Genomic DNA, 21626 nt, shown 5'->3' with positions numbered 1-21626 from the left:
GTGAGGCTGGGCTTTGTGCATTTTCCTTGTTTTCCTTTTCCTTGTGTTCAGGCTGTTATAGAAACAGATACACAGGGGCTTTGTGTAGCGCCCTGTTCTGGGGGCCTTCAGGAAGCATGAGGTGCCCTGGTTTCCTTGGCTTTGTGTCCCCCTTTCCTCCTGCCACCCCTGACTCTGCACCCCACCTTATCCCTCAGACCATCCTCCTGGAGGGGCCTGGCCAGGGCTTGTGTCCTTGCTAGTCTCTGGGGAGGAGGACTCTGTGGCTTGAAAGCTTGTTGGCTGAAGTTGCAAGGTGTAGGTGCCTGGGAGGGCACGTGCACAGCCCTCTTGACTGATCCATTCATGTTTTTCTTTTTTGACTCTGTTCTATTTTGTCCTGATGGAGGGGTAAGTCCCTGCCTTCTTCCTTTCCTGCCTTGGACTCTTGCAATTGGGCCAGATGAGAGGGTCTATGTGGTCTGAGAATTCAAGCAATGCAGGCCAGGCATGGTGGCTCACACCTGTAATCCCAGCACTTTTGGAGGCCAAGGCGGGCGGGTCAGGAGTTTGAAAACAGCTTGGCCAAAATAGTGAAACCCTGTCTCTACAAAAAATACAAAAGTTAGCCGGGCTTGGTGGCGCGGGCCTGTAATCCTAGTTATTTGGGAGGCTGATGCAAGAGAATCACTGGAACCCAGAAGGAGCAGGTTGCAGTGAGGAGCAGGTTGCAGTGAGGAGGAGGTTGCAATGAGCCGAGATTGTGTCCCTGGACTCCAGCCTGCAAAATAGAGCTAGACTATGTTTCAAAAATAAAAAAATTATATAGAAAACAAAACACAAAACTTCCTCTTGATTTGCTTTTCTTGATCTTGCTTCTGAGAGGTAACACTGGGGAGGGTGGGGGTATACCTCTCCACATCTTTTTCTTTTATTTTTATTTTTTAAGTTCTGGGATACAAGTGCAGAGTGTGCAGGTTTGTTACATAGATATACATGTGCCATGGTGGTTTGCTGCACCTATCAACCCGTCATCTAGGTTTTAAGCCCCGCATGCATTAGGTATTTGTCCTAACACTCTCCCTCCCCTTGTCCCCCACCCCCAAGGGGCCCTGGTATATGTTGTTCCCCTCCCTGTGTCCATGTGTTCTCATTGTTCAACTCCCACTTATGAGTGAGAACATGCAGAGTTTGGTTTTCTGTTCCTGTCCACACCTTTTTCCTCTGTGCACGCAAGCACATGTATTTGCACATAAGTGTTTATTGTAACCTTTTTTTAAAAAAAATGAATAATGCTCTATTTATTCTTTGGAAAGCCTGCTTTTCAGGCAGCATGTATTTGACATTGTCTCACGTTGGAACCTGGGTACCACCTTCTTCTCCCAGCAGTTATTCTGACGTGTGGATGCACCACGCTTCGTTTAACCAGCCCTGCACCCATACGTCTTTGGATGGTTTCCGCCTTTTCCCAATCACAGACGGTGTTCTGATGAATTTCCTCGCACACATCACTTGGTGCTCTGTGCCTGCATTTCTGTGAGATGTTCCTGGAGGTGGGCTGTCTAGGTCAGAGGGGGATCTGTGCTTAATTTGCATCCTGTGCAAAATTCCATCCAGTCATCCGGCTCCCCAAGGGCTCACATGGTACTGTCCTCTGTAGACATCATCTTCTGCAGATGATGGCACGACCGCCTCTCTTTCTTTTACTCACACCAGTCTGCACCCTGGTGTCCTGGGGGGTCCAGCCCCTACCTGCTTGTCTGCCCCCACCCCACAGTCCCCCCAGCCCCCTGCTAACAGGGACTCTGGCTTCTGAGCTCTGGCAGACTGCCTCACTCTGGAGAAGTTTGCTTTCTCAAACATTCCTGGCAATGTTACTGCAAATCTCGAGGCCTGCATTTGCCTTCTTCAGGCCTCAGTTTCCTCGAAAGTAAAATGGAGATAATGTGATGCTACTGTCTGCATCCTAGAGCTGCCATGAGGGTTCAGTGAGATCACTGTTGAGAGCACGTTCACAGCGCCGGCCTTGTGCGCAGTCAGCACGTGTGGGGCAGGGCTGTTGCTGATACGTGGTTGACTGTCATTGCTAGACTGTGGCTTTACCAGGGGCAATGTCTTTAGTGCCGAGCCCAGAGCCACCCCTAGTACCTGCTGTGTTTATAGAGTGATTGAGTGGCAGGGTCAGAGATGGGGCAATGGCAGCAGAAACAGAGGGAAGAAGTGGGGCTTCTAATAGGTCCTGGACCAGTGGCCCTTGAGATGAAGGCTTCTTGCCAAGGTCTGGGGCTGTGCTGTGTGTTCTAGGCCCGAGACTGGAAGCTAGGCCTGGCTGCAGCCCCCGCTGAGCTGGGGAAGTGCAGGTCAGCATCCTGCTTCATTAGGACACCTCCAAGCCCAGCTTAGACGTGGATGCCAGGTGACCCCCTGTTCACTCTGAGCCCAGACAGAGGACAGGGAAGTGTGCAAGGGTGGGGACCCCCTTATCACAGCCCTTGACTCTGTAAGGCATATGGGTTTGTGCACGTGTGTGAGCACGGCCGTGGCTTCTCTGAGTTTCAAGCTCAAGGTTGTGTTTATGCAGTGTTAGGCTTGCCAGGTAAAATACAGGACGTCCAATTAAACCTGAGTTTCTCATTAACGCTTTTTTTTTTTTTTTTTTTTTGGTGCAAATATATCCCATGCAATATTTGGGACCTGCTTACCCTAAAAAATGATTTGTTGTTTATCTGAAATTCAAGTTTAACTGGCATCCTGTCTTTTCACTTGCTACGTATGAGAGTTCCGTGTGGGGGTTATCAGTATGCATTTGTGAGTTCCCATGTGAAGGACTGTCTCCAAGTGTCTGTAGGTGCCAGGATGGAGATGGACAGAGAAGATCCTCTCAGGCTGCTTTAGTGGCATCTAGAGACTGTGGGGTTGGACACTTCAGCCCCAGGGGCCTAGGCAGCACTTTCCAGCAACTGTGTGCTCCTGTCTTCTTCATGGGGCCTGACTTCCCTGCCATCTCTCTCCAAATACGGTGGCAAGAGCTATCCCATCCGCCCCCATCTGGAGCTCGGCTGCCCAGCCAGACAAGATGGCAAACAGTGTGCAGATGGCTGCAAAGCTTTCCCCAGCTCCTTCTGCAAGGGTCCTGCAGATGAAATGGAAGCCCTTATCCTCACCACCTCCCCCTTCCAGAAAACCCAGGCAACAGCCACCTCTGTATGCTGCTTTAGAAACTTCTCCCTCCTGGTGATTAAACTACCCCTAAGAAATAAAGCACTGCATTTCCACCATAGGCTTGTTCACATGCACGCAGCCAATTGTCTTGGATCCACCTGTGTGCCTGATTCATCAGGGTGAGGGGTTCTCCTCTGAGGTGCTTGCAAAGAGCTGCTTGCAAAGAGTTGCTTAATTTTCATCTGAAAGACTCTCTGTAGAAACCAGGCCCAGCTTTGGAAGAAAGCCTTTTCTCCCCCTTTAGCAAAGTCTGTGTCATTCTTTTTTTCTTTCTTTCTTTTTTGAGACGGAGTTTCACTTTTGCTGCCCAGGCTGGAGTGCAATGGTGCAATCTCGGTTCACTGCAGTGTCTGCCTCCCAGGTTCAAGCGATTCTCCTGCCTCAGCCTCCTGAGTAGCTGGGACTACAGGCACCCACAACCATACCCGGCTAATTTTTTTCTATTTTTAGTAGAGAGGGAGTTTCACCATGTTGGCCAGGCTGGTCTGGAACTCCTGACCTCAGGTGATCCAACTCGGCCTCCCAAAGTGCTGGGATTACAGGCGTGAGCCACCATGCCTGGCTGGAATTCTGTGTCATTCTGGATACTTATCATGACTTCAAGCATCCAGGACTCTGTCATGGGTATCCTGAGCCTGAGGGTGTATGTGTGTCCAGCTGGCTTGGAGGTTGTCTACAGGCAGGTTGAACTTGGCCTCTGAGTTCATGGCAGCCTCACATGGGAAATACCACCAAGAAGCCTCATCGTGTGCTTTTAGGAGATAGTTTCTATTTAGTCGTTACTGAATCTATTACAGACAGTCTCTCGATTTCTTGCAAGTCCTGTATGAGGTCGGTGCTGTGATTATCCACATGTTCACTTGTTCTCTCTGGCCTCTTTCAGGCTCTTGAACTTCCTTTGCTCTTTTCCTGCCACAGGGCCTTTGCATATCCTGCTCTTTCTTCCTGGAAAGATTTTCCCTCTCCCTGCCTCTTCACCTGGTCACGGTCTCATCTGACAGTGGAGTCACTACATCCTCAGGGACACCTGGCCACACTGACTCAGTCACAGCAACCCCCTGTTATCTGCTTTCATGACACCAGATGCCTCTGTGTGGTAGACACTAGCTCAGCTATGGCTTCCTGTTTCTGTGCTTGTCATCCTTCCCCTTCTAGACTGTGGTCACTGTGAGGGCCAGGGCCATGCCTGTTCCTGATTCTCATTTGTGTCTCTGGTACTTAGTATATGCTTACCTAGAGTTTGATTAATGAATGACGGCATACCCATTTTACAGATGAGAAAGTTGAGGCTCAGAAACATTCTGTAACTTGCTCGGTATTAGATAGTGATGGTTTGAAGCCATCTGGCTGGTCGCTGGGTGCACACTCTTAACCACTTCACTATGGTTCTTCTCTCATGGTAGCTCTCCAACAGCAGGAGTGAGAGACAACTTTAGGACAGGTGTAACCAGAATCCCAGGTGTTATCCTAGAAGGTGGTGTCAGGAACATGCTTGCCTATGGGCCTTCTTACTGTATTGCATAAAATACTCAGTTTTTCTGACTCGCCTTTAGTAAAGACCTTAGCAATATTTGAAGCACAGTTGTCTGTAGGAAAGTGTGGGTGTTTATACTTTTTTAAAAAGGAGTCTATATCATATTTATCTTGTGGTCTGCCATGCCCCCCGCTCTTCTTCACCTTCAGTTATGCAAAATTCACACTTCTTCTCTTGAGTGCCTCTCTCTTACCTGTTCAGTTTCTTTTATGTGTTCGAGATTGCTTAGAATTTTTCCGCATTACTACAGCCTGCTTCCCACCTGTATCCCCCAGCCAGCTTGTTCTGGATTTTGTCAACAACAGTTCCAACGTTTGGTGAGGGCTGGACTGAAGGAAAGCCTTGGAAAAGGCTGTGTGATGAAAGTTGAAGACACCTAATGGGCAGGCAGTCATCAGAGTTAATTCAAAGGCTGGAAGAAGGGCTGACCTGGAGGACTGGAAATGTCTTTGAGCTGAAGGTCATGTGCAGGTGGAACGAAGAGGGTGAGCCTTTTGGGGTGAACTGCAAGTATTTGATAAGATCCCTGTCCCCATGGTTGGGGAAGTCTTGATAAGCATCCTCAATGTGATGGCGGGATCAAGGAACCCGTGGCTCTACCTGTCCAGCATGGCAGCAACATGACACAGCCAAATTATTGATTATTTGTTGCCCAGCTGTCATCACTCAACATCTTCTGTTAGTTTTAGCTGTAATTTGCACTAGTTGTCAATGCCAGTTTTGACTTTCCTAGTCAATAAAGTGTTCCGAGAGTGGCGACTAAGGCTGAGCACTACCCATAATCATAAGTATTACAGAGGCAAGCCCCCTTGCCCATCCACCTGCAGGTGATGACACACCCTAGAAAATCACTCAATTCTTTGGAGGACCCTGAATAAATGCTCAAGTCCATCTGTTAATCTGTCCGTCCATCCATCCACCATTCCTTCCATCCATCCGTCCATCCATCCATCCATCCATCCATCCAGACATGCATACATCCATCCACCCACCTACCCATCTATCCACCCACCCACCCACCCATCTATCCATCCAACCCACTCTCTTATGCACCCAGCTATCATCCACCTACTCACACACCAACCCATCTATCCAACCACTCACCCATGCATCTATCCACCCATTCACTCATCTACCCATCTATCCACCCACCCGTGCATCCATTTATCTATCCCTCCACCCCCTCACCCACTCATCCATTTCTCCACCCACTCGGCCATCTGTTCACCGACTCAACCATCCATTCATTCATCCACCTGCCCACCCACCCATCTTTCCATACACCCATCTATCCACCCACCCACCCATGTATCCATCCACTGCTTGTCCTTCTGTTCATTTATTCCACAAAGACTCATTAACCACCTACTAGATTCTGGGGAGGTATCTGCTCTAGTAATTGAGAACATGGTTTCTGGAAACTGATTCCCTGGGCTCAAATTGAGCTGCCTCCTAGCTAGCTGCTTGGGTAAGTTATAGAAACTGTGCTTTGATTTTCTTATCTGAAAACTGGCTATTAATAGCTTCTACTCTTGCAGATATAGTGAAGATTAAATAAGATGTCACGTTAAAAGTGCATCATCGACACTCAATAGAGATTAGGTTTTACCATTCATTATTATTCTTGGCAGATGCTGCAGATAACATGGAGAGCATACGAAAAGCACATGTTTAACCAAAAGTGACATACAGGTGCTAAGTTCTGCAGTAGGGGAAGGGCAGAAAGCCATGGAGAGGGCCTGGCCCAATCCTGGAGCCTCAGAAAAAAGTTCCCCGTTGAATTGCTGTTTTAGCTGAGACTTCTGGGATGCGTAGTAGTTGGAGATCCCAGACAGGAGGTGACCGAGTTAGCCAGGGAAAAATTGGGTCCTGGCACCCATGGCAGAGTTGAGTGATCCAGTCTTTCTGTCTCCACTGGCTGGAAGTCCACCAGATTTGGGAATGTCCAGTTGGGGGAGGGGGCTGACAATGATCATGACCTTCACCTGTCCTCACATGTCCTCTGTGTATCTGCAAAGCCTCTGCCTCAGTCTCTTCTTCTGGAAAGTGGGATTGGAAACCACTCTGCTTCTCTCTCAGGACTGCTAGGAAGACAAGATTAGATGGCAGGTGAGAGCTCTTTGAAAATGAAAACATTCTGCTATTTGAATGCAAAGTGTTCTTCTTTGCCTGTGATGTTTCCTAATCTGTGAACTCATACTGGACCTCGAAGCTGTCTATTAAAAAAAAATTAGCAAATTGGCTGGTCAGGGTGGCTCATGCCTGTAGTCCTAGCACTTTGAGAGGCTGAGGGGGTTGGATCACTTGAGGCCAGGAGTTCGATACCGGCCTGGCCAATGTGTGAAATTCCATCTCTACTAAAAATACAAAAATTAGCCAGGTGTGGTGGCGTCTGCCTGTAGTCCCAGCTACTCGGGAGGCTGAGGCACAAGAATCATTTAAGCTCAGGAGGCAGAGGTTGCAGTGAGCCCAGATGGCACCACTGCACTCCAGCCTGGGTGATAGAGCGAGGCTCTGTCTGAAAACAGAAAAAAAAAAAAAAAAAGCAAAGTTAACACTTCCTCCACCTCTCCCCTAGGGGAGGCAATTTGTCAAAGATTGTTGTTGGATTTTACACACAGGGAAATCTAAGGAAGGTGTGGAAACCAGACCAGGACTCTCGTCTCCCTGTTTACAGGGTCTTAAATGGGGGAGCCACTTTGGGTTCTTTCCACAAGATTGCTTTGTTAAAAAAACAAGAAGCAAACAAACAAACAAAAAACTCAAAAAAACAGCCCTGACCTAAATATTCACAAGGGACTTTAGGCAATATCTGCAAACAAACGTGAGTGATGAGTGGAATCTGTCATCTTTACAACTAAGACAGCTCCAGAATTGAAGCAAGTGGAAATATCTCTGGAGACAGAGATTTGGGCGGGTTTTGCCAGTTACAAGCTAGAACCTGGGCAGGTTTACCTCTCTGAGCTTGTGTGACCGTGTAAAATAGGCTGCATTGCGCTAAACTTGCAGGAGGAATCCTAGCATCCCCCTGTGCACAAGGCTGGTTTCTTCCCATCCTTTTCCTTGTTCTGCCTCTCTTCTCCTCTCGAAGAGATGAATGAATGCATTTGGACCCAGCAGGGACCTATGTTTGCAAAAGCTCTCAGGTGATTCTCATGCAGCCAGCCTGGCTCTGGCACTGAGTTCTTGGACACTTCTGCAGGCACATTTACTAGTGAGGACGGTCACTGTGTGCTGAAGGCATGACTCATCTTCCATTCCTTTCTTCCGTGAAGCAAGGCTCATGGGTCAACTGAGCTGGGAGAGTCCACAGTGTCAGCCTCCCCCACGCTTCCCTCCCTCCTTATTCCTTGTGTGCTGTACTTTGTCTGGATTTCCTGTACTCTGCACCAAGCCAGGAGATGGTAAGATCTCAAAAAAATCACTTTTTTGGGAAATGGGATCAAGAGGGTTTTTGTTTGCTTGTTTGTTTGTTTGAGACAGGGTCTGTCTCCCAGGCTGGAGTGCAGAGGCGTGACCTTGGCTCACTGCAGCCTTGACCTTCTGGGCTCAGGTGATCCTCCCACCTCAGCCTCCCGAGTAGCTGGGACTGCAGGTGCACACCACCATGCCTGACTAATTTGTCTATTTTTTTGTAGAGATGAGGTTTCACCGTGTTGCCTAGGCTGGTCTCAAACTCCTGGGCTCAAGTAGTCCTCCATCCACCTTGGCCTCTCAAAGTGCTGAGATTACAGGCATGAGCTGCTGTGCCTGGCCAAGGTTTTTTATTATTATTATTATTATTATTATGAAAACTTTTCAATAAACATAAAAGTAGACAGACTAGTTTAATGAGCTATCATATACCCATCATATAGATTTAAAAACTATTAACATTTGCAATATTTACTCCATTTGTTTTTCTGAAGTATTTACAAAATAGTTTACAGTAGTTATGTAATTGCATCCTGATATTCACCCCTACATAATTTACTTTCCCTCTAAAAACATGAGGGCATTTTTTATATGATCATTGTCATACCTAATCAAATTACCAGTAATTCCTTAATATCCTCTAAGATCAAGTTTACATTCAGATGTCTTGTCCTCAAAATGTCAATTGTGATTATTTTTTTCTTTGGGCAAAGATAATAAGATCTCAAGATTTAATGACAGAGATTCCATGTTAGCCCTGATGTCTAAGCTCTGTGGTCCATTGTGGCTTTACTTGAAAGTCTGAGGCTAGGTGTGGTGGCTCACATCTGTAATCCCAGCACTTTGGGAGGCCAAGGTAGGCAGATCATGAGGTCAAGAGATCAAGACCATGCTGACCAACATGGTGAAACCCTGTCTCTATTAAAAATACAAAAATTAGCCAGGTGTGGTGGCGGGTGCCTATAGTCCCAGCTACACGGGACGCTGAGGCAGGAGAATCACTTGAACCCGGGAGGCGGAAGTTGCAGTGAGCTGAGATTGCACCACTGGACGCCAGCCTGGGTGGCAAGAACGAGACTCTGGAAAAAAAAAAAAAGTCTCTCACTGTGGTCTCATAATAAAAGGACACTCCATTTCCCATCTGGCCCCTGATCCTCAATGTTAGCCCCCTCCTGTGGGGAGGAGGGGGTGACCTTCAGCGCAGGTTCAAACATTCCCAGGGCTGGCTCTGTTCCCGATAAAGCCCATCGTCATGAATGAATGCTTCCCTTGCAGGTTATTCTAAGTATTGTAAATAGTGCACGTGGAGTGTCCTCATGATGCCTGGGATGGTAGTGAATATTTATAGGTTTGTTTTAGTGCCTTTTTTTTTTTAGTGTTTTCTATAGTTCCATGTTTCTACAACCCTTAGGAACAGCAGAATCGTGTGTGTGTGTGGGTGCTTATTAAATAAACCAGTTCCTGGAGTTCACTCCCAGTGACTGCCAGTCATGATTAGGGGCTCAGCTAGGACCTAGGTTTGCAAAAACTCCCAGCTGATCTCATGCAGCCAGCCTGGCTCTGGCTCTGGCTCTGGGAGCTGGGTTGGGAACTAGTCTTTGGTGCTATTTTGCTGAAACTTCAAGTTGGGCTATTTGACTCCGTCTTGTATTGTCATCACTTGTATTCAGGTCTGTTCTTCCCCTGGATTGTAAACTCCTTGATGTCTGGGTCATCTCGGCTCATAAGCTGAGCTTTCAGTGGGTGCTCAGTGGAACAGGTGCTGAATGGAGTCAGGCTCTAGGGAGGCCAGCGTGTGTTGGTAAGTGAGAGACTAAAATCCTTTTAAAAAGAATCTTTTTGCCCTTCAGTTGTGTTTGCCATGAGTTAATGTGATTTACTCTAGTGGAAGCCAGTGCAGCTTAAGTGGAGGTCTTGCCCTGAAATGGAGCCAGGTTAAGGATCAGCAGAGCTGCCAAAAGCGTTTTGGGGGAAATGTTTCTGTGTCACTCTCAGTTGATTGAACTCAAGTTTTCACTCCCGTTTAACACCACGTGGGGGTCTTTCTGACTTCTGCAGAGTGGGTATGATCAGATCTTCTGTAAAAGTGTAAGTGAGGGGGATGGGCACGGTGGCTCACACCTGTAATCATAGCACTTGGGAGGCTGAGGTGGGTGGATCACTTGAGGCCGAGAGTTTGAGACAAGCCTGGACGACATGATGAAACCTCATCTCTACCAAAAAATACAGAAATTAGCCAGGCATGATGGTGCATGCCTGTAATGCCAGCTACTCAGGAGGCTGAGGCAGGAGAATCACTTGAACCTGGGAGGTGGAGGTTGCAGTGAGCTGAGGTTGCACCACTGCACAGCATTCCAGCCTGGGTGACAGAGAGAGACTCTGTCTCAAGAAAAAAAAAAAAAAGTGTATGTGAGGAAACTGGAATTGAGCTTGGGGATTTTGGGGGATGGATGTACTTCATTTACTGAACAACAAAAACCATAGGATACCAATGCTGGAGGAAGAAGCATCATCCTCATTTTCTACTAACTCAACCACGCATAAGATGGGGACTTGGTGTCCGAGAGAAAAGCTTCTTTTTAGGTCTTCAACCTTGATCAAACCATTTCTGAATTCCTCATGCACATATAATCAGGTGCTATGAGTGGTACTGATTGGATAATCTTTCTGTCGTTTCCTGTGCTAGGAAGGAAAATACATGTACAGCCAACTTCCTTGAGCGTTCGTTCTTTTGCATCAGGGTGTCTCAAACTGCTGCCCTTAAAACACCTGTAAGAGAATCATCCAGGCAGCTTGCTCACTCTGCATGCAGGCCCTTTAGAATCAGAGTCAGAATCCCTGGGGCTGGAGCCACAAAACTAAATGACATTTCAACGAGTTTGTCATCATGTGAGAGAGAATAGGTGAGTATTTGGATACCTATAATACAAAGTAGATTCCAAAAGAATGACTTGATTATTTTAAATGTTGTGTTTTAAAAAATTTAATACAGAAAAGGCTGGGCGCGGTGACTCATGCCTGTAATCTTAGCACTTTGGGAGGCCAAGGCGGGTGGATCATTTGATGTCAGGAGTTCAAGACCAGCCTGGCCAACAAGGTGAAACCCCATCTCTACTAAAAATATAAAAATTAGCCAGGCAGTAGTGGTGCGTGCCTGTAATCCCAGCTACTGGGGAGTCTGAGGCAGGAGAATTGCTTAAGCCTGGGAGGCAGAGATTTGGGAACCTGAGATCGTACCACTGCACTCCAATGTGAGTGACGATTGTTTAACCACCACCAAAATGGGTTCTGAGTCCAACTATTAATATGAAGATGACATCCATTGTGGTCTTGTACATTTTGTTTCCTTTCCAGGGTGAAGGACATTGGTGACCATTTGTTTCCTCTGGAGCGGTCGATTGGTCATGAACTTCCTGGTCCAGGTAGTTACTGTGTCATTCATGATGGTGGTTGATCCTCAGGTAGTTAGGGAGGAAAATAAACAAGAAGTTATATATTTAAAATCACGTTTCAATTTTAGACCTGATTAATTGACTTAATAAAGGGCATTAGCACTTCTACTTCCTACGGTCCCTCCCTTTACCTCTGGAAACTAGTTATTTCTAGGTTGTTTTATGTTGTTAAGGTTGACACCTTCTCTTTCTGTTCTGCAATCATAGTCCTATCACTAGCCTTTTTTCATGGTCATTCAGTTCACAAGTTGCTTATTTTTTAATTTCTTGGCTGACTAAATTTTATTATGAAGACTTTTCTTTTTAAAGAGCTCAGAAATACTGTGTTCTTTAAGTTCTTCAGCATGTGATAGTGTCTTTTGTCTATTTTGATTGGGCAATAATTTAGCTGGCTATAAAATTATTGGATTATATTCTATTTCCCTTAGAAATGATAGGCACCCATCCACTGACATTTCATTGTGCTTCCTTTTTTTTTTTTTTTTTTTTTTTTTTTGAGATGGAGTCTTGCTCTGTCACCCAGGCTTGAGTGCAGTGGTGCGATCTCGGCTCACTGCAAGCTCTGCCTCCCGGGTTCACACCATTCTCCTTCTCAGCCTCCCGAGTAGCTGGGACTACAGGCGCCCGCCTCCATGCCTGGCTAACTTTTTTGTATTTTTAGTAGAGACGGGGTTTCACCGTGTTAGCCAGGATGGTCTTGATCTCCTGACTTCGTGATCCACAGGCCTTGGGCTCCCAAAGTGCTGGGATTACAGTTGTGAGCCACTGTATGAGCCCAGCCTCATTGTGCTTTTTACTAACCCCCTTTCCCTGGCCTCTTCCAGTTTGTCTTCTCTCCCAGTAGTTTCTTCATGAAGACGCCATGTGCTATATTCCATGAGATATTTCACACTCAAAGAAGACTTCTTTTATACTCTTTTGATAATTTGTCTGGGAATCACTGTCTTGATTTATAAGGGAGTTTGTAATAAATACAGTAAAAGAGAAACACAACATATTTTGAGACATCAGAGAAGGGAGACACCAATTCTATTAATATTTGGGGTTAGCAGGGAAGGCTTAGTTAAGAGGTAACATTTGAACTAAGCCTTGAAATAAGGGAAGAATTTGGCCATGCAGTAATGGGGAGAGAGTAGAAGCAAGACATGATGGTTAGTGTTATGTATCAATTTGACTGGGTTGTTGGGTGCCCAGATATTTGGCTACACATTATTCTGGGTGTGTCTCTGAGGTATTCTGGATAAGGATAACCCTTAATTGGTAGACTGAATAAAGCAGATTGTCCTCCCCAATGTGGGTGAGCCTCATCCAATCCACTGAAGGCCTGAAGAAAACAAAAAGGTAGAGTCACAGAGAATTTGCTCTTTTTACCTGATTATATTTGAGCTGGGACATCAATCTTCTCCTGAATTTAGATGTGGACTCGAGTTGGAACTATATCATTGGCCGTCTTGGGTCTCCAGCTTGCTGACTGCAGACTCCAGGACTCCTTAGCCTCCATAACCATGTGAGCCATCCCTTACAACAAATCAATCTGTCTCTCTCTATGTGTATAGCTCTACCTCTATCTCTCTGCTCTTTCTCTGGAGAACCTAGAATAATACACAAGGTTATATTAGAGAAGAGGATGACCCAAGGAAAAGCATGGAGGCAGAAAAGTGCAGAGGGTTTGGGAAGACTGGGGTCCTGGTGGGGAGTTTGGATTTCACTGTGTGTAGCATGGAGAATCCTTGAAAATATTCAAGAGGTGAAAATTGTATTTGTGGAAGAACACCAGGAGTATGTGAAAAGAAAAACACTCACTCCATTTTAACTCCACTGAAGGGGGCATCAACGGGATGCACTGGGGACATGGGTTGGAGGGTAGTTGAGGCCATATCTGGAGGATCTTTACTTCTTGGCTGAGTCTGAAGTTATCTTTCTGGGGAGTGGCGGATTACAAATCTTTGAGCTCCACTCAAGAGATGGTTGTGCTAACAATGGCAGGGCGACGGTGGTGGTGGTGGTGGTGGTGGTGGTGGTAAACTGGTAGCATGAATTCTAATTGGGCTTCTGTCATTCTAGCCGAGAAAATTGGAGAATGGACTTCCAGTAGAATAATACAGATCTGGGAATCAACTGCATGGAGGAGGTAGTTATAGGTGATGAGATGTCTCAGGGACAAAGTTTGGTAGCCGGAGAAAAGATACTAGGCTGGTACAAAAATAATTGCTGTTTTTGCCGTTACTTTTAATGGCAAAATCCGCAATTACTTTTGCACCAACCTAATAGGATGCAAACTTCGGAGCCATCTGCATCAGAGGGTTTGATGATGATCAACAAAGTTTGGGAACACAGGAAAGGAGCGGGGAGGGTAATGACTTGAGGGCATAGCAGGGATAATCAAGGTTTTTCTTGTTAGCATGTGGAGACTTAAGCATGATTATATGTTAAGCACCTGGCACATACAAGGTACATAATATTTATGAGTGAAATGACAAGTGAAGGTGGTGGGTCATGGGAGTTCCAAGGGAACGGGTGATAAAGGCAGGTCTCAAATGAGGCACAAGTGGAGAAGGTAACTTGGGAATGGAGAAGGATGCTTCTCCTTATAAGTTGGGAAAGGCAGAGGAAGAGGGTCAAGATACAGTGATCTAGGGGTGAGATGGAAGTGAGTTGAGAGAACTCAACTCTGGGCTCTGAAACCCCTAGGGATGGGTTTGGGGGGCTTTGAGATATGGAAGAGGTTTAAAGTCAATTGTTATAGCAAATATGGTTTGGAATTTATTTGTGATGCTTAAACATATTGCTGAACAGAAGTGAAGTCTACCCTAGAGTTGGATGGTGAGATTATTTAGTGGAACTACCAGATCCACGTTGTGATTCTTTCCAGTATCATTCAGCAGCCCTTGGGCAGTTGCGAGGCAAGTCATCAATGGGGTATGGAGATTTTCCAGGTGGGTGTGGTTGAAGGAAGGGAAGAACGAGTTCAGGAGCACATTACAAGAAGAAGGTGACTGTAAGGTCCAGGGTGAGCAGGAAGGTAAAGCAAGAAGGAAACATGAGGTTGTGAAGAGAAGTTTAGAGGGATGAGGAGGCAGGAGAGGTGAAGAGTTGCATGATGTAGCTAGAGTGGCGTTGTTAGATCTTGGGGCCAGAGAGCTTTACAATGATTATGAAGATCAAAGGACATTAGAATCAAGATATAAAGAGCCACTGTTTGATGTTGGGATGTGAGGATGCTGCAGGTGGATGTCTGCACATTGATGGTGAGAACATGGTCACCCTGGCCCTGCCGGGTCTTTGCTAAAGAGACTGTGCTCTGTTCTTGGGGCCGTTTTCATCACCTGATTAGAGCAGTGGTCCCCAAATGGTGTTCTTTGGACCATCTGTATAAAATGTTCATAGGTCAAGGATAAAATGGAAAAACAAAATGTCACAGAAATGTGCCCATTGTTGAAAGACCACCAGCTGTCCTTTTTGGAGGATTATTCTTTATTCTAAAAATGTATATATTCTATTCTATTAAAACATTTTTGTATTTGCATTTTTTTCTCTTTTATGAAATGCCACTGGGTAGAAATTTGTAATGTATCCAATTCTCCTGTCTTCATGCATTGCCCTGTGGTGGGGGAGGGGATGTGGCTAGTACTGGCCAAGAGGCTGGGGGCAGAGGTGCAATGTTAGACTTCTAGCCTAGAGCATTTAATTCTTAGTACAAGACTCTCTAGCATTCTTCTCCCTCTGTTCCCTGCTTGGTGATACTCGAGGTATTGCAACCCCCATTAACCTTAGTCTTAGGGCAAGTTTGATGGAAAACAGAGCACCCCATACCTCCCTGCAGATGTAGCATGAGTGAGAAAAACAACTTCTGATGTTTGAAGTTACCAAGATTTAGGAGTTGTTTGTTATTGCAGCAAAACCTCACCTATTCTGACAAATCATGTTGGAATTTCTATGTATATGTGTGTGTGTGTGTGTGTGTGTGAAACTGGTAGTTTAAAAAAGTTTCTTCTTACCCAAAAGAAAAACAGATAGCAACCTTATGTTGGTTCTCAAATTAAAAAAATATTTTTACTCGTTTATAAAACAGAAAAATCTGAGAATCTGTAGCTTAGAGAACTACAGTGTGGGATGTCTATAAAGACCAGGTTATTTTATCAGCTCCTAACACCCCTTAATAGAAGCTTAGCCAAGACTTGCACTATTTCAGTCTTTCCCATTCCACATTCCATGGACTCTTGAAGAGACATTGATGAAACGGTGCAGCCATGAACCACCGTAACTCATTCCTAGTGGCAGAACCCCCCTTTTGCTGCAGAATGAGCTTCTTGCTACAGTGATACTGCAACCCCTTAGATATATCCTGTACTAATTATATTAAAACACGACCAATGCTTTTGCTTTGTCGTCCCCCAAATTAAACACATTAATCATGAGAACCCAGAGAATTGGATTTAGTGTAACTGATTCCAAACTGTCAGTAAGAACATAATTAAGTTATATTTTTCTCGAATTCAAATAAAAGAAAATTGACAGTAAAATGCTGATCAATATGTGTAGCTCAGGAGGTAGAGCCTGCTTTGAGATGCAGAAGTGTTTGGTTTTTTTAGATCTATATTCTTGAGTAAAGAAAAAATCCATCTCTCTTTCCTAGAGGGGAAGACTTTCAGAGCTGGGCTTGGCAACAGCCTGACTATCAGAGGCTGAATTAAACAAATAGGTGGTACCTCCCTGGAGTGAATGGTGCGTTTCTCCTGTTCGGAGAACCGTGCTTTTATGGTTGAGTTTGCTTTCTGTCTTGGTCTCCGGATGTGTGTATCTGTGGGTGGATGTCTGCATGTAAATGGCAGTGTATACCTGTGTGGGTGTGTACAAAATTCCCATGTGAATCTCAGCTTTGTGGGGATCTCCGGTTCTTGAGCCCAGTAGATGCCATTTGAAGAAAAAATCACTTGAAAATGAGACAGAAAGAATGGAAACTAAATCCTAGCTCTAAAGGCACCATTCTGATTTAAAAAAAAAAAAAAAAACTCTGGATCTTCTTTGTTTTGGACTCTACCTACTTCTAAATGACATTTCTGTTTCCTATGAGATGATTAGAATGAAAAAGATCCTGAGCACGAAAGAGCAGATACTGTGTGATAGTGTGTATGTCAGGGTGTCAGCTGTGACGCTGCTGACATTTCGGCTCAGCAATTTCTCTGTTCTATGTGTGGGGGTTCCCTGTGCATTTTAGGATGTTGAGCGGCATCCCTAGATCCCTGGACTCACTGGATGCAGTAACACAACTCCCCCCAAGTAGACACAACCACCAGTGTCTCCAGATATTGCCTAATGTCCCCTGGGGGTAAAATAGCCCCATCTGAGAACTGCTGCTTTCATAAAGTACAATGTCAGGTGAAATAGGTGGAGGCTGTTTGTAGTCAGGGGTTAGTAGCGATGGAAGAGACCCCAGGAATATCCTGGAAGGGTCTGTAATATTTTGTTTCTTGAATTGGGTGTCAGTAATATGGAGATGTTCAGTTTTTTTGTTGTTGTTGTTTTGAGGCAGGATCTTGCTCTGTCACCCAGGCTGGAGCACAGTGGCACTGTCATGGCTCACTGCAGCCTCTGCCTCCTGGGCTCAAGCAGTCCTCCCACCTCAGCCCTCCCGAGTAGCTGGGACTACAGGCATGTGCCACCACTGTTGCCTAATTTTTTATTTATTTATTTTTTGTAGAGAGGAGTGTCTCACTATGTTGCCCAGGCTAGTCTCAAGCTCCTGGGCTCAAGCAATCTGCTCATCTCGGCCTCCCAAAGTGCTGGGATGACAAGCATGAGCCACTGCGTCTGGCCAGTATGTTCAGTTTGTAAGAAAAGTACTGTGTTGACCTCTTCTATGTGCACATTTCTTTAAGTAATAATTCAATAAAGCATTTAGAAAAATTGGTCATAATAGGAGTGATTTGTAGAGTGATTGGCATGAAAGCTGATCACCCTAATTTGAACTACTCTGAAATGAGCACCAGGGGCCACCAAGAGGACCCTTTCAAAGTGTCATAGCCAAGGAGAGGAGTGTGTTGTGTACATCTCTGCATAAAGGATTTGCTGGTTACATGGAAGGATGAAGCCTCCTTCTGAGGACAGAGGCAGCAAAGCAAGTGGAAGCCCAAAGCATTGAGCTTTCCCAATGGACTTTGCTAAAATCTTGTGGATGACTCATGCTCTTAACATACACCCATGTACATATTGTCCATATACACATTAATTCTGTAACAAGGCCCACACTTATGGGTTTTTTTTTTCTTTTGAGACAGTCTTCCTTTATTGCCTAGGCTAGAGTACAGTGGCATAATGGTGACTCACTGCAACTTCCGCCTCCTGCGTTCAAGCAATGCTTGTGCCTCAGCCACCTGAGTAGCTGGGACTACAGGTGCACACCACCATGCCTGGCTAATTTTTGTATTTTTAGTAGAGACAGGGTTTCACCATGTTGGCCAGGCTGGTCTCAAACTCCTGGCCTCAAGTGATCTGCCCACCTCAGCCTCCTAAAGTTTTGGGATTACAGGTGCGAGCCACTGCGCCTGGGCCCACACATAATGTTTGAGTTGAGATAGAGAAACTCTGGCAGGACTGAGGAATTGGCCCACAGTCTCTGGGAAATATGCACAATTCTGGAATCTTCGCTACTTTCAGAGTTCCCACTTTCTGTCTCCTGTTTATTCAACAAACTTGTATGGAACCACAGTGTGACTAGAACTTGCCAGGTGTGGAGGATAAAAAGATGACTGAGATCGGGCATGGTGGCTCATGCCTGTAATCCCAGCACTTTGGGAGGGCAAGGCAGGCGGATCACTTGAGGTCAGGAGTTTGAGCACAGCCTGGCCAACATGATGAAACGTCTCTACTAAAAATACAAAAATTAGCCAGGCATGGTGGCATGCACATGTAGTCCCATCTACTTGGGAAGATGAGGCAGGAGAATCGCTTGAACCCAGGAGGCAGATGTTGCAGTGAGCTGAGATCACACGGCTGCATTCCAGCCTGGGAGACAGAGCGAGATTCCATGTCAAAAAAAAAAGATGACTGAGATACACAGTCCCTCAGAGTTGACTCTAACACAAATTAGGTAAGAGCCCAAGGTCTGGCTGGGCCGGCACCTTGATCGGCCTCATCCTGCAGCGTCTACTAGAATGAAGAACACTTTTTTCTTTACCCATGAAAATGTTTTGTGCTTCATACCCACAAGTGCAATTTGTGTTAATTCTGCAAAATTTGCCGCATAACTCTGCCTGTATTCTTAGCATTTTTCCTTTGAGAGATTTCTCAGCATATCATCTTTGGACTATGTGGAATTGGAAATTTACTTAGAGTCAACAACAAGTACAGGAAAGTCAGTTCTTAAGAGTTAGGTTTTCAAAGACAGTGGATAAAATAAAAAATCTAGTACAGTCAAGATTATACGTGCAAATCCCCTCATCATTCATAAAGTTTAGCAGTCAGTCTTACCGTGGCTCACCAGGTCCAATCCATACTTCTTCCTCCACGATTGGAGCAGAGGGTGATTTTTTTTCTGAGCAACTGATGAAGTCATTTAGAGACCATTTGCAGTAGGAGCCCTGTGTACTAGAGACCAATCAATGTGCCCTCATGGCAGCATTTCTGCCTCTCTCCCTCTTTGTTCTTGCCAAGTACCCATAGTTCATTTTCCATAGATTAAAAGAGCCCAAGTTGGGCCTATATCTAGGAGTACAATTGCTGGGTCATTTGGTAACTCTATGTAGAATTGTTTGGGAAGTTGTTAAAGTGTTTCTCACAGCGGCTACACCATTTTAATTCCTGCCAGCAGTGTATGAAGGTTCTAGTTTCTCTGCATCCTCACCAACACTTGTTATTTTCTGTTTTTGTTTGTTGTTTGTTTGTTTGTTTTTTTGAGACAAAGTTTTGCTCTGTCGCCCAGGCAGGAGTGCAGTGGCACAATCTCAGCTCACTGCAACCTCTGCCTCCCAGATTCAACTTACTCTTCTGCCTCAGCCTCCCGAGTAGCTGGGATTATAGGCACCTGCCACCATGCCTGGCTGATTTTTGTATTTTTTTAGTAGAGACGGAGTTTCCCCATGTTGGCCAGGCTGGTCTCAAACTCCTGGCCTCAGGTGATCCACCTGCCTCGGTCTCCCAAAGTGCTTGGATTACAGGCATTAGCCACCGCACCAGGCCAATTTTCTCTATCTTCGATTCTAGCCATGCTTATGGGTATGAAGTGGTATCTCATTGTGGTTTTGATTTCTGTTTCCCTGATGATGAATTTCACTGAGCATCTTTTCATGTGCTTATTGGCCACTTGTATGTCTTCCTTGGAGATGTGCAATATTTTCATATTCAAAAATGAAAGCACAGGTCCACACAAAATTTTGTACATTAATAATTACAGTAGCATCACTCCTAATAACCCAAAGAGAGAATTAATCCAAATGCCCATCACCAGATGAAGAGATACACCGATTGTTGTCTACCCACATGGTGGAATATTATTTGATCACAAAAGGGAGGAAAGTACATACGCTACAGCGTGGATGAACCTTCAAAACAGATGAAAGATCACATTCTACATGATTTCATTCTGATGGAAATCTATAGAAATAGGAAGTCGATTAGTGGTTGCTTAGGGCTGGTAGGGGCATGGGAGGATGGGGGTGTTAGCTAAAGGGTATGAGGTTTCTTTTTGAGGTCATGAAATGTTCTAAAATTGACTGGTAATGTTTGTGTATATCTCTGAATATATTAAAAACCATTGAAATGTAAAAAATGCAAAGAAAAAACAGCCCAAGTTGCAATTTTATTCAACACTTGATTGGCTTTAAAAATAGATTCCAGGCTGGGCATGGTGGCTCACACCTGAAATCCCAGTGGTTTGGGAGGCTGTGGTGGGAGGATTGCTTGAGGCCAGGAGTTCCAGGACAGCCTTGGCAACATGGCAAGACCCTGTCTCTACAAAAAAAGAAAAAATAAATAACAGCTGTGTGCAGTGGCTCACTCCTGTAATCCCAGCACTTTGGGAGGCTGAGGTGGGCAGATCACCTGACATCAGGAGTTCAAGAGCAGCTTGGCCAACATCCTGAAATCCCCTCTCTACCAAAAATATGAAATTTAGCCTTTTGGTACTCCGAGAAGCACCATGGCGGTTGTTAAGAACAAGTGCCTTATGAAAGGTGGCAAAAAAGGAGTTAAGAAGAAAGTAGTTGGTCCATTCTCTAAGAAAGATCAGTATGATGTGAAAGCACCTCCTAGGTTCAATATAATAAATATTGGAAAGACTTGGTCGCCAGTACCAAAGGAACCCAAATTGCATCTGATGGTCTCAAGCGTCTTGTGTTTGAAGTGAGTCTTGCTGATTTGCAGAATGATGAAGTTGCATTTAGAAAATTCAAGCTGATTACTGAAGATGTTCAGGACAAAAACTGCCTGACTAACTTCTATGGCATGGGTCTTACCTGTGACAAAATATGTTCCATGGTTGAAAAATGTTCAACAATGATTGAAGCTCATGTTGATGTCAAGACTACCGATGGTTACTTCTTTCATCTGTTTTGTGTTGGTTTTACTAAAAAACACAACAATCAGATACTGAAGACCTCTTATGATCAGCACCAACAGTCCGCCAAATCCAGAAGAAGATGATGGAAATCATGACCTGAGAGGTGCAGACAAATGACTTGAAAGAAGTGGTCAATAAATTGATTCCAGACAACATTGGAAAAGATATAGAAAAGGCTTGCCAATTTATCCTCTCCATGTTGTCTTCATTAGAAAAGTAAAAATGCTGGAGAACTCTGGATTTGAAAGGCATGGAGCTTCGTGGTGAAGGTAGTAGTTCTGGAAAACCCACTAGGGACGAGACACATGCTGAAGTTGAATGAGCTGATGGATGTGAACCACCAGTCCAAGAATCTGTTTAAAGTTCAGACTTAAAACGGTAGCAAATAAGAAGTCCTATTTGTGAAAAACAAACAAGAAACAACAATGAAAGAGCAAAATTAGCCTGGTGTGGTGGTGCATGCCTGTAA

At 45.1% G+C, this 21626-nt stretch overlaps 1 long non-coding RNA gene and 2 pseudogenes across 1 annotated transcript; 2 read left to right on the top strand and 1 right to left on the bottom strand.

Annotated features, from left to right (window-relative positions):
- The window catches only part of LOC100130459 (serine/arginine-rich splicing factor RSZ22A-like), a 21399-nt pseudogene extending 9843 nt beyond the window's left edge, over window positions 1-11556 (top strand).
- LOC107986252 (uncharacterized) lies at window positions 11520-21626 on the bottom strand. The gene is made up of 3 exons (XR_001741559.3): window positions 21054-21626; window positions 12973-13193; window positions 11520-11605 (listed from the first exon to the last, which is right to left on the bottom strand). It is a non-coding gene; the product is annotated as an uncharacterized LOC107986252 (long non-coding RNA).
- Window positions 20714-21562, top strand: RPS3AP16 (RPS3A pseudogene 16; annotated as a pseudogene).

The sequence above is a fragment of the Homo sapiens genome, chromosome 4, assembly GCF_000001405.40.
Source record: "Homo sapiens chromosome 4, GRCh38.p14 Primary Assembly".
NCBI classification, from domain to species: domain Eukaryota; kingdom Metazoa; phylum Chordata; class Mammalia; order Primates; family Hominidae; genus Homo; species Homo sapiens.
Note: the sequence above shows the minus strand (reverse complement) of the source record. Positions and strands in the feature narration are given on the sequence as shown.